This window comes from Homo sapiens, chromosome 5 (genome assembly GCF_000001405.40).
Source record: "Homo sapiens chromosome 5, GRCh38.p14 Primary Assembly".
Lineage (NCBI taxonomy): Eukaryota > Metazoa > Chordata > Mammalia > Primates > Hominidae > Homo > Homo sapiens.
In genome coordinates this window covers 65,695,298-65,712,291 of record NC_000005.10, presented here as the reverse complement: position 1 = coordinate 65,712,291, position 16,994 = coordinate 65,695,298, and the positions used below count along the sequence as shown (strand labels likewise).

The 16,994-nt window shown below is 38.8% G+C and overlaps 1 protein-coding gene across 3 annotated transcripts in view, besides 1 other annotated feature; it reads left to right on the top strand.

The window, feature by feature from the left end:
- The window catches only part of SGTB (small glutamine rich tetratricopeptide repeat co-chaperone beta), a 57,086-nt gene that overhangs the window by 10,722 nt on the left and 29,370 nt on the right, over positions 1–16,994 (top strand). For 2 of the 3 annotated variants that reach the window (XM_005248548.4, NM_019072.3), the window contains exons 4-5: positions 3,734–3,803; positions 7,914–8,013. In XM_005248548.4, the coding sequence (XP_005248605.1) occupies positions 3,734–3,803; positions 7,914–8,013 (170 nt within the window). Of the gene's footprint in view, positions 1–3,733; positions 3,804–7,495; positions 7,606–7,913; positions 8,014–16,994 lie in introns of all 3 variants that reach the window. The other variant, XM_047417334.1, reaches the window with a different exon arrangement.
- Positions 12,730–12,799: an enhancer, noted in NCBI's record as "active region_22609". NCBI's record gives its function as "activates an Ori minimal core promoter by ATAC-STARR-seq in GM12878 lymphoblastoid cells {active_cell/tissue: GM12878}" and the evidence as "EXISTENCE:reporter gene assay evidence [ECO:0000049][PMID:35858748]".

Sequence of the window (16,994 nt, the reverse complement as noted above, 5' to 3'; positions counted from 1 at the left end):
CTTTCTTTTCTTTTTTTCTGAGGCAGGTCTCTCTCTGTCACCCAGCCTGCAGTCTAGTGGTGTGATCATGGCTCATTGCAGCCTCAGCCACCTGGGCTCAAGCAGTCCTCAATTCTCCCACCTTAGACTCGTGAGTAGCTGGGACTACAATCACACACCACTACACCCAGTTAATTTTTGTTTGTTTGTTTTTGTTTTTTAGTAGCGACGGGGTCTTTGTTTGTTTTGTTGCCTAGGCTGGTCTTGAACTCCTGGGCTCAAACCATCGTCCTGCCTTGGCCTCCAAAAAGTGCTCGGATTATAGCCTTGAACCACCACACCTGGCCCACATGTTTCTTTATGACATTGTGGTGCCTCGTGGGCTCCTTTTGTTTTTCTAACTCCGTACTTGAGCTTTAGTATATAATGAAGAATTCTGGAGTGAAGCTGAAACATATCTTACACACTTAAGTCTGGAGTGGACATTGCTGACAATACCACACTTGACTGGATCTTCCAGGCTCTGTTTCTAGAACTTCTTGGGAAGAGGTTGTTAGAGTTGCAATGAAGATGGCAACTTGGCAGTAAATCATCCCCTTTTATTACACTTGGGAGAAAAATAATGCAGTTATTCATTAATTCATCAAACGGATGAATTCTTATTGTATGACAAGATATAAGGAGATAGTGATGTTTATCTCTGTTCCTCATCAGGGAGCTCCCTTTTTCTTCCCTTTGGTGATGGTGGGCTGTGGTTCTTTCATTGTCTGGGCCTGTGGCCCCCTCAGGGAACCCTGTTTCAGTGGCTAGATATGGTTATGGCTAAAGCAGACCTTCTTTGCTGTCAGGTAGGTGAGGCCTGTGCTTGACACAGTTCTTAGATTTTCTCACTCTTTAGCTACTGTCACCATTGACTTAATACTGAAGATATTAGAACTACTTTTTTTTTTTTTCCTTCTCAGGAAACTCTAATTGACTTTTACCCTCTGTTTGAATAAAGCTTTTTCTTTCTTTTGCTGTATCTCCCTGATTGCATTTAATTATAAGAAATTTGTTGCTCACTATCGTTAAAATACAGTTTATTGAAACTGGCTGCCTAGTATATCTTCAGTTGTGTTATATATGTGGTATCATATTTCTTTTTTTTTGAGATGGAGTCTCGCCCTGTCGCCCAGGCTGGAATGCAGTGGTGCGATCTCAGCTCACTGTAGCCTCTGCCTCCTGGGTTCAAGCGATTCTTCTGCCTTAGCCTCCCGAGTAGCTGGGACTCCAGGCACGTGCCACCACGCCTGGCTATTTTTTTTTTTTTTTTTTTTTGAGACAGAGTCTTGTCCTGTTGCGCAGGCTAGAATGCAGTGGCATGATCTCAGCTGACTGCAACTTCTGCCTGCCAGTTTCAAGTGATTCTCCTGCCTCAGCCTCCCGAATAGCTGGGATTACAGGCACCCGCCACCACACCCGGCCCTGGCTAATTTTTGTATTTTTAGTAGAGGCGGGGTTTCCCCATCTTGGGCAGGCTGGTGTTGAACTCCTGACCTCATGATCCGCCCGCCTTGGCTCCCAAAGTGCTGGGATTACAGGCGTGAGCCACCATGCCTGGTCTCATAATTCTTTAGTAGTCCTATTTTACAGCTATGGCTTCATTCCATATATGTTTATTAACAGAATATGGCAGAGAAAGTGTAAATTCACCTGAAATAGCATGACGATTGTTGTAATTAAAGAAATTATTTGTTTCACCAAGTGTACTTGGTTGTTATATTGGTCATTTTATCTTTAGGATACTGCTTTTCTATTTTTTTTCTCCAATTATGTTTATATATCAAGTGGATTCATTCCCTTTATTTAGAATAGGTAGCTCTTGCCCCCACATGGTGAACTGCTCAAATTTATGCAATGAATATGATAATTAGTTTTCAAAGTATAAAACAGTGGCAATTTTCGCAAATAATTTAGAAGGATTGGGAAGACAGAAGAGATTATAATCTATTTTTTAATATGCTATTTTTCTGACCCCCAAATCACTTTTTCCCATGTATAAAGTGCCTAGGCTTATTGGAAAATTTAAAATACAAGGAACCCTAAAGCCAAGTGCTGTAGGACAATAATGTGTCTTTGAATTATATTTAGATCCTGAGTAACTACAGTCAGTTTTAAGCAGTGACCTCTACTTAGGAAGGTTCTCATGTTGTTTCTATATTTTTATTCCAATATTTTATGCTTGGGAAAACTGATTAGTAGATAATGATTTAAAAAAAAATAAGGACAAGACCCATATACTTTGTCAGTAATTTTTTTTACTTGTGAATCTTTATGTCTAATTTGCAAAATATATTTCTGATGTAGAGCTATCAATTTTGTAGAAACTCTAATCAAGACAAAGGTAATGATGGATATATACTACAGTACATAGGGCTGGGCATGGTGGCTCATGCCTATAATCCCAACACTTTGGGAAGCCAACGTGGGAGGATTGCTTAAGCTAGGAGTTTGAGACCATCCTGAGCAACATAGGGAGACCCTGTCTCTATACAATATAAAAAAATTACCCAGGTGTGGTGGCTGCTCACCACACTAGCCCCAACTTTTTTAAAGCAATGAACATATATTAATTTTACTACAATATAAGAAAACACGGCCGGGCGCAGTGGCTCATGCCTGTAATCCCAGCACTTTGGGAGGCCGAGGCGGGTGGATCACGAGGTCAAGAGATCTAGACCATTGTGGCCAACATGGTAAAACCCCATCTTTACGAAAAATACAAAAATTAGCTGGGTGTGGTGGCATGCACCTGTAGTCCCAGCTACTCGGGAGGCTGAGGCATGAGAATTTCTTGAACCTGGGAGGCGCAGATTGCAGTGAGCCGAGATCATGCCACTGCACTTCAGCCTGGCAAAAGAGCGAGACTCCATCTCAAAAAAAAAAAAAAACTGGACAATATGCAAAGATACAAGAAATTAAAATTTTACTTCTGATACACATCTTTCCAGGCTGTTTTTAATGTGTGTGTGAACATATTTATATAATATCATATTATAAATGATTTTTTGTAGATTGTGATTTTGACTTAGTAGGGTATATCTTAGATAGGATATTAGACATTTTGTTCCAAAATTTTCACTAATATAAACAATCCCTTGATCATATTTCTATTCCTATTCTTTACATACTAATTCCATTTTTTTTTATGAAGCAGGATTGCCAGGTATGGGAAATGCACATTTTTTAAAACTTTGATTCACATATTCTTCATATTCTTATTTTTTTTTTTTGAGACAGGGTCTGGCTCTGTTGCCCAGGCTGGAGTACAGTGCCATGATCTCAGCTCACTGCAACCTCTGCCTCCTGGGCTCAAGCCATCCTCCTACCTCAGCCTCCCAAGTAGCTGGGACTACAGGCACATGCCACCACACCTTGTTAATTTTTGTGTTTTCTATAGAGACGGGGTTTCACCATATTGCCCAGGCTGGTCTCGAACTCCTGAGCTCAAGCTGTCCACCCACCTTGATCTCCCAAAGTGCTGGGATTAAGGCATGAGCCACCACGCCCAGTCACAGATATTCATATTTCTAATAAAAAATATATGAGAGGACTTTTCCCCTATTTTTGTTAATACTATTATTTAGGAAGTTGTTTTCATGATGTGGAGTTACAGATGATTTAAAATGTGGGTAATTTATTATTTATTTATAGTACTCTAGGATGATTCTTTATGTAGCTAAAGGGAAGTGCATTGATTTTTATTTAATTTCAGAATGACGTTCTGCCCCTTTCAAACTCAGTGCCTGAAGATGTGGGAAAAGCTGACCAATTAAAAGATGAAGGTGAATATTTCATACAAAAATGACTTACTTAGTAAAGCTTTCTGAAACTGGAGGAAATTACTGTCAATTGATATAGTTCTGATTACACCACCAAGACTAGATTGTCATAAGTGCACATGGCAATTACGAAACAGAAATGAATGTGATGGGTAAGAAGCCTGGAAGTACAGAATGGCTTGTGGGCAGTACAGTTACGGCTTGCTTCAAGAGAAGCAGATCTGTTGTAAAAGTTGCAGAACACATAACTTAAGGGCGAATTGCTTCGGTTTTTGCTACTTATACTGTAGGATCTCAAATTCTTCTTTAACTTAAAAAGAGGAAAATAGTTTTCAGCATTATTTTATCTTTCATATGTTTAGTGTTTTTGAGTTCTTTGAAATTTGTTAAGGTAGGCACATGGTACTTGTTTATTAGCTAGCACTTTTGATTACTACATTATTAAATTTTATACTAGTTGGCTATTGAAGCATTCTTGGTTTTAAGAAATAAGTCACTGTTGAGGATTTGTGTTCCATTTTTCCATTATGTCAGCTATGTTAAGCTATAGACGGGAGCCAGGTGAGGCCTGTAAGATTTGTACTACAAAGCTTTAGGGTATAGTCCTTATCTTTAGCAGTGAGTGACAGCCAATAAATCCTCTGTTCTATATATAGACAGAGGGTTACTAGGGAATATGCTATGTTCAGAAACATTTTCTAGCCTTTTCTTTATTTCATACCTTGAAGAAGGCAGTTGAGTTAAAAAAATATATATCATGGCCGGGCACGGTGGTCTACACCTGTAATCCCAGCACTTTGGGAGGCCGAGGTGGGTGGATCACAAGGTCAGGAGATCAAGACCATCCTGGCCAACTCGGTGAAACCCCGTCTCTACTAAAAATACAAAAATTAGCTGGGCATGGTGGTATGTGCCTGTAATCCCAGCTACTCAGAAGGATGAGGCAGGAGAATTGCTTGAACCCGGCAGGCGGAGGTTGCAGTGAGCCGAGATCACGCCACTGTACTCCAACCTGGCAACAGAGGGAGACTCCATCTCAAAAAAAAAAAAATATATGTGTGTGTGTGTGTGTGTGTGTGTGTGTGTGTGTGTGTGTATAAAATCAGCTGGTATCTAAAAAGGTGGATATGAAACAATTATACTGTTCCTATTCCTTGGGCATGGTCATTTCTCTAGGTCTGTAAATATATACCTATATCACTGTGGTTTTTGCTTTTGTTTTGTTTTTTTTGAGACAGAGTCTCTCTGCCACCTCGGCTGGAGTGCAGTGGCAGGATCTCGGCTCACTGCAACCTCTGCTTCCTGGGTTCATGCAATTCTCCTGCCTCAGCCTCCCGAGTAGCTGGGATCATAGGCGCGTGCCACCACGCCTGGTGAATTTTTTTGTATTTTTAGTAGAGATGAGGTTTCACCATGTTGGCCAGGCTGGTTTTGAACTACTGACCTCATGTGATCCGCCCACCTCAGCTTCCCAAAGTGCTGAGATTACAGGCTTGAGCCACCACGCCTGGCCTATATCACTGTTTTTAATGGCTGTGTAGTGTTACATGATACTGTTTGAGCATGTCTTACTTACCTAGACAGATAATTTTGTAATCCTAAATAACACTGTCTTTGATATTTTTGTCAATATTTATTTTTGCTACTTTGTTCCTTTTTTGAGATGGAGTCTGGCTCTGTCGCCCAGGCTGGAGTGCAGTGGTGCAATCTTGGCTCACTGCAACCTCTGCCTCCCAGGTTCAAGTGATTTTCCTGCCTCAGCCTCCCGAGTAGCTGGGACTACAGGCATGTGCCACCACGCCCAGCTAATTTTTGTATTTTTAATAGAGATGGAGTTTCACTATGTTGGCCAGGCTGGTCTCAAACTCCTGACCTCAGGTGATCCACCCACCTCGGCCTCCCAAAGTGCCAGGATTACAGATGTGCGCCACCACACCCAACCCTGAATTTTTATATGTTAAGTATTTTATATGTTAAATATGTTAAGCCTTTTATCATTAACTTATAGTATATATGTGTATAATATTTGTGGTATGTATATATACATTATGATATCTACACCTTTGAGGTGACACAGGAAAAGACATACAGTACAGTTTTATAATGTAATCATAAAATGCCATCAAGACAAAGAGCCCAACAGCAACATCAAAGTCTCAATAACCCAGAAAATTAAAATGTTTGACATGGAAATCAAACTATCTTTGCTAATATAAACTTTTTGTTTCTTCATAAAAAACAATGTTAACCTCTCAGTTTCCTTAGAGGCTTTCTATTGATTTCTTTTTTGGGGAAGATCCAAATTAATTTTTTTAACTTGAAAAGATATTTGTTGCGATATAATTCATATGTCATACAATTTACTTCTTTAAAGGGTACAATGCATTAGTTTCTCATATATTCACAGAGTTGTGCAGCCATTACCATAATCAATTATAGAAATTTTTTTTTTTCTTGAGACAGGGTCTCACTCTTTCGACCAGGGTGGATTGCAGTGGCAACAGTACAGATCACTGCAGCCTCAACCTCTTGGGCTCAAGCAATCCTCCCACTTCAGCCTCCTGAGTAGCTGGGACTACAGGCACACACCACCACCCCAGCTAATTTTTGTGTTTTTTTTTTTTTTTGTAGAGATAGGGTTTCACCATGTTGCCCAGGCTGGTTTCTAATTTCTGGGCTCAAGCCATACTCCTGCCTTGCCCTCCCAAAGTGCTGGGATTACAAGGATGAGCCATCATACCCGGCCTACAGAACATTTTTATAACCCCCCAAACAAAAACCATGTGCTTATTAGCAGTCACCCTTTATATTCATTTTTGATTCCTAATTTACAGTAATTTGAATATTCTGTTTTTGTTCCTTGGAAATTTATGCCCCACTCTTCCTGTTAAGCAGCTAATGATCTATTAAGAACAAGGCTAATGTGAGAGTTTCTGGTTTAAGAAAACTGGAAAGAATCACAGATACCTTTGAGATGTAAATCATTCCTCCTAATCTCCATTGTTTCTAATATTTTCTTTTTCTTTTTCTTTTTTTTTAAAGACAGGGTTTCACTCTGTCACCCATGCTGGAATGCAGTGGCACAATCATGGCTCACTGCAGCTTCAACCTCCTGAGTTTATGTGATATTCCTGCTTCAGCCTCCAAGTAGCTGGGACTACAAGTGTGTACCACTGCGCCTGGCTAATTTTTTTAATTATTCTTTTTGTTGAGATGAGGGGGGGTCCCACTATATTGCCCAGGCTGGACTCGAACTCCTGGCCTCAAGTGATCCTCCCACCTTCACTTCCCAAAGTGTTGGGATTACAGGCATAAGCCACCACGCCCAGACATATTTTGAACCATTGGTTCTTACAAGTGCAGAGGACACTACTTTTTCATTTAATGGTATACAAAAAATACCCATAGGAAATCTCTTATTTTGCTGACATTTTATTAACTTAGCTAAATTACTGCCAGATGTATCTGCAGATGCCCTTCCTGAAAATCAGTACTTTGCAGGCTAGCCATGGTATCTGAAATTCTCTTTCTAGAAATTAATCTCTTTAAATCCCCTTTTAAAAAGAGTCTAACTCTGGAAGGGATAGCACATAAAAATATTATCTGCCACTATCATGATAGCATGATTAGTTTTATCAGCTTATCCTCAGCAGTGTTCTGAGAACTTGATTATCAGCAGATGTGTGTTTTAACAGGGAAAGAGTGGAAGACCAGGTCCAGATTGAGATGGTGATTAGGGAGGGTGTTGCATCTGGAACGGGCTGGGGCAGCTCTAAAAGGGAGGAGAGAGATGAAGATAAGGAAGGTGAGAAGAGATTCACTTTTGCCATGAGATAGTCATAATTGTTGCATTTACTCTTTTAAGTCTGGATTTTATAAGGTATATAAACATTAATTTTTTAAAAGACTTTGCATTGTTAAAATGATTCAAACACACTGAAAGCTAAATAATATCAACTCTATAGTACAATGTAAAATTTTTTCCAGTGTGACTGAAAAATCATGAGGCCGACTTTCATATAATTATAGTTTCCACGATTAAAATGTGTCTATAAGAGTGTATGTTTTTAATGTATATTATACTTACTGTACATACTGGTTACTTTATTTTAGGCAATAACCACATGAAAGAAGAAAATTATGCTGCTGCAGTGGATTGTTACACACAGGCAATAGAATTGGATCCCAATAATGCAGTTTACTATTGCAACAGGTAAACTAGCACTATTGTGGCAGGTTTGCAATTCTTAAACATTTAGATTAATAGCTCTGAAGGAAAATGCAAATCTTAATTATTTAGAAAATTTTGAAAGTTCAGAAAAATATAAAGAAGGAAGAAAAAATAAACTTAACCAACTTACCACTCAGAGGCAACCACTGTTATTAATCTGTTAGCATATTTTGTCTTACATAAATTTATTTATTTATTTATTTATTTATTTTTTTTTTTTTTTTTGAGACGGAGTCTCACTGTCACCCAGGCTGGAGTGCAGTGGCATGATCTCGGCTCACTGCAAGCTCCGCTTCCCGGGTTCACGCCCTTCTCCTGCCTCAGCCTCCCAAGTAGCCGGGACTACAGGCGCCTGTCACCACGCCCGGCTAATTTTTTTGTATTTTTAGTAGAGATGGGGTTTCACCGTGTTAGCCAGGATGGTCTCGATCCCCTGACCTCGTGATCTGCCTGCCTCAGCCTCCCAAAGTGCTGGGATTACAGGCGTGAGCCACCGCGCCCGGCCTAAATTTATTCATTTTTATTTTTATTTTTTTTGAGACGTGGTCTCACTTTGTCACCCAGGCTGGAGTGCAGTGGCATGATCTCAGCTCACTGCAACCTCTGCCTCCTGAGTTCAAGTCATTCTCCCACCTCAGCCTCTGCTGGGACATCAGGTGGACTACAGGTGCACACCACCATGCCTGGCTAATTTTTGTATTTTTGTTTTTTTTGGTGGAGATGGGGTTTCACTGTTCAAGTTGGCCAGGCTGGTCCTGAACTCCTGACTTCAAGTGATCCACCTGCCTTGGCCTCCCAAAGTGCTGGAATTACAAGCATGAGCCACCACACTCGTCCAGTTTATTCATTTTTAGATTCACCTTTGTTCACTGGTTTTACCAAAAATATGTCCTTATTTTATTGCAGTCTTTCATAAGCATTATTTAAATGGTTACAAATTAATCTCTATTACTACTGCTTATTCTTTTTTATATTTCCAGCACCTATCATTGTGGCTAGCAAAGAAGTACTCAGCAAGGGTTATTTTTGAATAGGGAGATAGACATACCTTAGTTTACTTACCTATTGACCTACTGGTGGACATGGAGGTTGCTTCCATTTTTTTTCAATATTATCATATAAAGCTGCAATGAACATCTGTTGTTTCTAAAATATTTTTCATGCTTTAGATTTTCTGGACTTTGGATTTATCCCTGGAAATGCACTTAGTAGATCTAGAAGTGCAAATTATTTTTAAAATTGTTGATGCAAATTACAAAACTGTCCCATCTTCTTTGAAAATATTTTGAAAATTCTCTCCCTAGGAATGTATCTGTTTTGGCTACACCCTTGATCAGCACTAAGTATGCAAATGATTAATTATTGCTAATTTAATTTTGTTTTCATATTGTTCTAATTTATATTTAAATACTGGTGAGGTTGGATATTTTTCAAATGTTGGCCATTTTTATTTGTTTTTTCCTAAATTTTCTATTTATACCTTCTATAGACTGAATGTTTCTATCCCCTTAAAATTCATATACTAATGTGAATTTTACACCCAATCTCCAATGTGATGGTATTTGGAGGTGGAACCTTTGGAAGGTGATTAGGTTATGAGGCGAGGATTAGTACCTTTATGAAAGAGACTCTGGAGAGCTCCCCTGTCCCTCTTGCCATGTGAGGACACAGCAGGAGGAGTACCCCTACCAGTTCTTAGCTTGTTTGACCCCAGACTTCTTTCTTCCTCTTTCTTGGCTCTGTCCTTTTTAACACGGGTCTGAACCCTATAGGCTGCATTTCCCAGTCTCTTTTACCATCTGGCTTTTGTATGGGTTCAGCCATGGAGGTACTGGCAGGAGATTTGAAGGGTAGAAGGAAGAGAGAAGTCTAGGTATTTCTTTCTGCTTTTTAATTTAATTTTATTTTTTAACATCATGGTGTATATTCAGCAGGGGCTGCTTCTCATCCTTGTCTTCCTACTTCCACCCGAGACACATACTGTTGTTTTGGTCTTTGCCAGGGGACCTTCGGTATTGGACTTTGTACTTTGTCCTTCAGTCTTAGGGATGGTAGTGGCTTCCTGTTGTGAATTTCTGGATTGCTGTACAACCCTGTTTGGCCTCTCAGCTCTTCTGCCACCTTATGTAATAAATTCCCTGAATTAAATTATTCTGTTTTAAATTTTGAAGTTCCAGTAGAACTTTCTACAGTGATCGAAATGTTCTATATCTGTACTGTCCAACTCAGTTGCCACTAGCCACAGTGGCTGTTGAGCACTTGAAATGTGGCTAGAGAGCAATTGAGGAACTAAATTTTTAATGTCTAAATCAATTTAAAATTAATTTAGGCCGGGCGCAGTGGCCCACGCCTGTAATCCCAGCACTTTGGGACGCCGACGCGGGCGGATCACGAGGTCAGGAGATCGAGACCATCCTGGCTAACACAGTGAAACCCTGTCTCTACTAAAAATTCAAAGGAATTAGCCGGGCATGGTGGCAGGCGCCTGTAGTCCCAGCTACTCAGGAGGCTGAGGCAGGAGAATGGTGTGAACCCTGGAGGCGGAGCTTGTAGAAAGCCAAGATGGCGCCACTGCACTCCAGCCTGGGCGACAGAGTGAGACTCTGTCTCAAAAAAAAAAAAAAAAAAAATTTAATTTAAATAGCCACATATGGCTTATGGCTGCTATATCAGACAGCAGAGCCCTATATTAAAGATATAGAACAAAAATCCGTGTGTCTTATTTGCCTTTTAATGTTTTTCATATGTAAAAGTTTTAAAAATTTATGTAGTCCAATTTTTCTTTTCCTTTGAATTTTATTCCAGTGCTTTTAGACTTAAAGCTCTCCCCATTTACAGACTTGACAAATAACTTCTATTTTCTTATTTTTCCTTTCATTTAAATTTTATCATCTCAAGTCTGTTTTGGTTACTGGCATTACTATTTTAACCCATTCGAAACTTGTTATAACGGCCTTATCACCTTTTATTTTATAGTAGGTTCTTAGGTTTGAAAGAGATCTTTAAGTTAACTTGATCCAATATTTCATAAACTCATTATTATCATATTTAGGGTAGTCACACCTTTCTGAGATAGCACTCTCCTCCCCTACCTTTTCTTTTGTGGTTAGGTTATATCTGTTAGAAAGGTCTTCCTTATATTGACACTGAATTTGTTTTCCTATAACTCCTGTAGCTTCTGTCGGTTGGTTTTAGTTAAGGGTAATTCCGGAATAATTATGATTCTTTTTTTTTTTTTTTTTTTTTTTTTTGAGACGGAGTCTTGCTCTGTTGCCCAGGCTGGAGTGCAGTGGCAGGATATTGGTTCACTGCAACCTCCGCCTCCCAGGTTCAAGTGATTCTCCTGTCTCAGTTTCCCAGGTAGCTGGGACTACAGGCATGTGCCACCACTCCAGGCTAATTTTTGTATTTTTAGTAGAGATGGGGTTTCACCATCTTGGGCAGGCCAGAGTTGAACTCCTGACCTCAAGTGATCTACCTGCCTCAGCCTCCCAAAGTGCTGGGATTAGAGGTCTGAGCAACCACGCCCAGCCATGATTCTTCTTTTTCTTTTCTTTCTTTCTTTTTTTTTTTTTTTTGGGAGACAGAGTCTCACTCTGTCGCCCAGGCTGGAGTGCAGTGGCGCGATCTTGGCTCACTGCAAGCTCCGCCTCCCGGGTTCACGCCATTCTCCTGCCTCAGCCTCCCAAGTGGCTGGGACTACAGGCGCCCACCACCACGCGTGGCTAATTTTTTTGTATTTTTTTTAGTAGAGATGGGGTTTCACCACGTTAGCCAGGTTAGCCAGGATGGTCTCGATCTCCTGACCTCGTGATCCACCCGCCTCGGCCTCCCAAAGTGCTGGGATTACAGGCATGAGCCACCGCACCCGGCTCATTCTTCTTTTTCATGACAGTACCTTACATTTTAAAATTTGCTACCATGTTCACTTTTCTTTTCTCCACATTCAATGTTTGAAATTTCTTCTGTTAAACTTCAGGTAGTACAGCTTTAAGTCCTGTACCTTCACTTGAAACTTGTTCCAGTTTACCTCTGTCTGTTAGATATAGTTCCCAGAAGATAAGACAGTATACCTGGCATTAGTCTAACTAGACCAACAGTCTTGTAAGACTCTCATTTAACCTACTTTCTAGATAGCATAACTATATATCAGCATATTCTAGCATTATTTGTTAAGTTCATATTTTGCTTTTGGTATATTACATCCCTCTTTTTTCATAGATTCTATCATATAACTCAATCGTATATATATTTGACAGGTTTTTACCAAATACCTGCTATGCACTAGCACTGCCACTGGAGGAACAATTGGTTGCTTATACTCAAATGCAGGCTCTTAAGTTTTGCCCCTATCAAATTCTATCTTGTTATAATCTTCTATTTATTTGTCTTTTAAAGCTTTTTTGATAAGTAATCTGTAAAGTAATGAATTTGCTCTTACTCCCATTTTCATGTTATCCACAAACTTGAGAAGAGTACCATATCTTATATCAATAACAAGTTGGCTGGGTGCAGTGGCTCACGCCTATAATCCCAGCACTTTGGAAGGCTGAGGCGGATGGATCACTTGAGGTTCGCAGTTCCTGGCCAATGTGATGAAATCCTGTCTCTACTAAAAAGCAAAAACAAAAACCAAACAAACCAGTCAACTACTGGAACTATAATAGAGAAGTGGTTAAGAGCAGGGGTTCTGAACCCAGACTCTTTTAAAAATATATATGTATTTCAGTAGCTTTGGGGGTACATGTGGTTTTTGGTTACACGGATGAATTGTATAGTGGTGAAGTCTGAGATTTTAGTGAAACTATCACCCGAGTAGTGTACATTGTACCCAACATGTAGTTTTTTATCTCTCATCTCCCTCCCATCCTCCCACTTCTGAGTCTCCAAAGTACATTATACTACTCTGTATGCCTTTGTGTACCAATAGCTTAGCTCCTACTTATAAGTGAGAATACACAACATTTGGTTTTCCATTCCTGAGTTATTTCACTTAGAGTTATGATCTCCAGCTCCATCCAACTTGCTGCAAAAGACATTATCTTGTTCTTTTTTGTGGCTGAGTAGTATTCCATAGTATATACATATATACCACATCTTCTTTATCCACTCATTGGCCGATGAGCCCTTAGTTGGTTCTACATCTTTGCACTTGTGAATTGTCCTGCAATAAACACATGTGTGCAGGTGTCTTTTGGATATAATGATTTTTTTTTCTTTGGGTGGGTACCCAGTAATGGGATTCCTGGATCGAATGGTAACTCTACTTTTAGTTCTTTAAGAAATCTCCATACTGTTTTCCATATAGGTTGTATTAATTTACATTTCCACTAGCAGTGTATGAGCATTCCCTTTTCACCACGTCCATGCCAACATCTGTTGTTTTTTGACTTTCTAATAATGGCCATTCTTGCAAGAGTAAGGTGGTATCTCATTGTGGTTTCAATTTGCATTTCCCTGAAAATTAGTGATGTTGAGCATTTTTTCATATGTTTGTTGGCCATTTGTATACTTTGAGAAATGTCTATTCATGTCATTTGCCCACTTTTTGGTGGGATAATTTGTTTTTTTCTTGCCGATTTGTTTGAGTTTCTTGTAGATTCTGGGTATTAGTCCTTTGTTGGATGCACAGTTTGCAAATATTTTCTCCAATTCTGTGGGTTGTCTGTTTACCCTGATGATTATTTCTTTTGCTGTACAGAAGGCTTTTAGTTTAATTAGGTCTCACTTATTTATTTTTGATGGTTCCAGACTCTGTGGATTCTAATTTCTGGCTCTGACACTTACTACCTATGGGACCTTGAGCAAATTTCCTAGTGCATCTATGCCTTGGTTTCCCTATCTGTAAAATGTGGGTAATACTAGTATTTACCTTGTAGGGTTGTTATGGAGATCAAGCAGTATAGTACATTTGATGCATTTCAAGTCAACTTGCAGCCATCAATATACATCCTCCCTAAATACTTAGCATGCATATCATTAACTAGAGTTTAGTATTTACTTTTTTGGGGGTAAAATTTGCTTACAAAAAATGCATAAATCTTAACTGTACTTTCATGGAGTTTTGACAAATACATACACCTGTATAACCTAAAATTCTATCAAGATATTGAAAATTACCATCCTAGCCAGGCATGGTGGAGGGTGCCTGTAATCCCAGCTACCATCAGATGTCCAGGAAGTTCCTTAAACCCCTTCACAGTCTGTTGCCTACAACACTCACCAGAGGTAACCACTGTTTTGATAGATTAGATTCATTTCCTCTAGAGTTTCATATGAAAGAAATCATACATATTTTCTGTGCAAGACTTTATTTGCTCAGCGTAACGGTTTTGAGATTCAACCATGTTGTGGCATGTATTAGTTCATTCTTTTTTATTGATCAATAATATTCTATTGTTTGAATATATCAGTTTGCTTAGCTATTTTTGTATCTATGGCCACCTGGGCTGCTTCTAGTTAAAACAATTTTTTTTAAATGTTGTCCAGATTTTATAGTTATTATTTGTGGGAGGTCATATCCTTAAGAAGTTTAGTTGGCCTCACTAGAGAACTTCATTTTCTTCTTCACATACACAAAAATTCCTTTATTAATCATCAATGTAGCTCCCCAAAATAGAAAATCCAAATAGTTTGTGGAGAATGAATCCTCTTAGCTGTGGTTTGATGGTTAAGTTTTATTCTGTGTAATCAGATTAATTTATATAATGTTTTAGTGTTTTAACATATGCAGTCTTGAAATAAATACTTGAGTGTCATGAAATGTTGTAACCAGATACAAATATTATCACAAAATTTCTTATTTGTACAGCACAATAAGCCATGTACTTTTAAGTATAAATATGGAAAATGTGAGCCTACAAAGTTTATTTTTGATGAGAATAGTCTTATATCCACCAGTACTGTATTAGAAGAAATTTTTGGCAATACCTATGCTTGCTTTTTATTTAATTTTTGTAAAACTGAAATCAATAATTATGCTTCTCTTTTGCACTTAAATTGTATCTTTTTCCCTGAAAAGTGCAGTAAAAGAGCATGCTATTTAATATTAAATAATCAGAAAACTTTATACATTTAATATAAGTACTAAACAAAGCTTTAGGATCACTTTGGTTTTTTTGAGACTCTAGTAGCTATAAATATCTCAGTAGCCTGTAATCTTGCCAACTACCTCTGCCATTTTTCTTTGCCAGCTGGCTGCCAAGAATTGAAAGCTCAGAATAGCCAATCTAAATATTCATTTTAAATTCATTTTCACAATTTTATTACTAATCAAAATATTTTTTACATACTCAACTCACTAGGATGAACTAATGTTTACTTTTTATAGAACTGACTTTTTAATTTGTTAGAAAATGATCATCTGGCACATTTCTTAAGCATGACTCTTTCTTTTCTGGTACTTGTCTTCTATTTTGGCCTTTTAGGATCCTACTGATGCTTTAGGCTCCACTTTGATAAAAGGAAAACCTGAATCCTTCCTTGTAAACATACCATGTAGTTTTGCTTTTTGAATATACTTCTAGCACTTGCCACAATGTGTAACATTTATGTAGGTTTGTCATATGTTTTATCGTATGCTTATCATACGTTCTGCCTTATCTTATATGCATATTTGTTTTATTTCTTCAGGTGAAGGGCAGAGATTGGCACTTGTATCTATTTGTATCCCCTATAGCACCTTATACTGTGCCTTGTAGGAATTCAGCCAATTTTTGTAGGATGAAGTGTATAAAAGATACTGAAGCAACCAGCCATTCACATTAACACTTGTGTACATAAAACAACAACTGATTGAGTATAGGTCTAAAACACCACCAAGTTCTCCATGATATGAAATGAACAACAGTTTTGGATGTCTTCTGTCTCTACACAAACACAATGTTCTTATTTCTTTTGTACTTCAGTGCTGAGTACTTTACCCATAGTCAGCTCATGCTTCAGGGGTGGATGGATAGTTGAATGACTTAAGGCAATAAAAGACAGGAGAGAGAGAGAGCATGATGCAGGGAATTTGGAAGGCCTCTTAGGTGATGGAGAACTGGAGTCGGATTTGAAGGACCAGTAGAACTTGGATAGGCAGAGGAGAGGGGAAGGCATTTCAGATTGGAGAGCTTAGTATAAAAGGCACAATCAAGAAGCCTCAGGCCATTGTAATAAGAATGCTAGTGACAGCACGTAGCCGTGTGAGCTCTGAGAAAGATGGGAACAGAGGCCTCATTATTTCGCATTTTGTTTCCTCCTCTTCTGTGAGCAGCATGTGGTCAGTCAGTCCACTGGGATTTGAGCTTGTTGTTGAATCTCTGTTCTGCACTTACTAGCTACATGACCTTGGGCAGTTACTGTATCTTTTTAAGCCTCAGTTTCCTCACTTGTAAAATAAGGATATTATCCACTTCAAAGGGTAGTTGTAAGGAGTGATAATATGTACAAAGTCCCCAGCATAGTCCTAGACTTGCAACATTTGTTTCTTTCAAAAACAAGGTAAGGCTTCTTTAATTGTAGGAATAGATTTTTGCCATAATTTATTTATGCATGATGTGAGAAATGTGAAGTAGCTTAATTTTTTTCCGTCTCTCTGTAAAAATAGAACATAAATCATATTTGTGCTTTTGTTTCTAATAAGGTGAAGAAAGCAAGGGTGCCTGGAAACATGTGACTCTGACTGTACTGTTCCACTGAAATTTCATTAGTTATGCCCTGATAACCAGACAACAGAGGCAGAGAGCACAGACCACGTTGTTATTCAGTTCAGACATTGGCATGTTTCGCTTCATCTTCCAGAAGATTCAAATATAGCCTGTCTTCTCTTTCCTTTCCTGGCCTCTGAGGCTCAGACGCCTCTCCTGTTCCTTTTGTGAGCTGCACAAATCTGCTTTCACCCTAACTTGCAGTTTGTGATCCAAAGCTGTTAAGATTGAAACACAGTCCCCCTCCTTCCTTACACCCACTCTTCTCTCTGA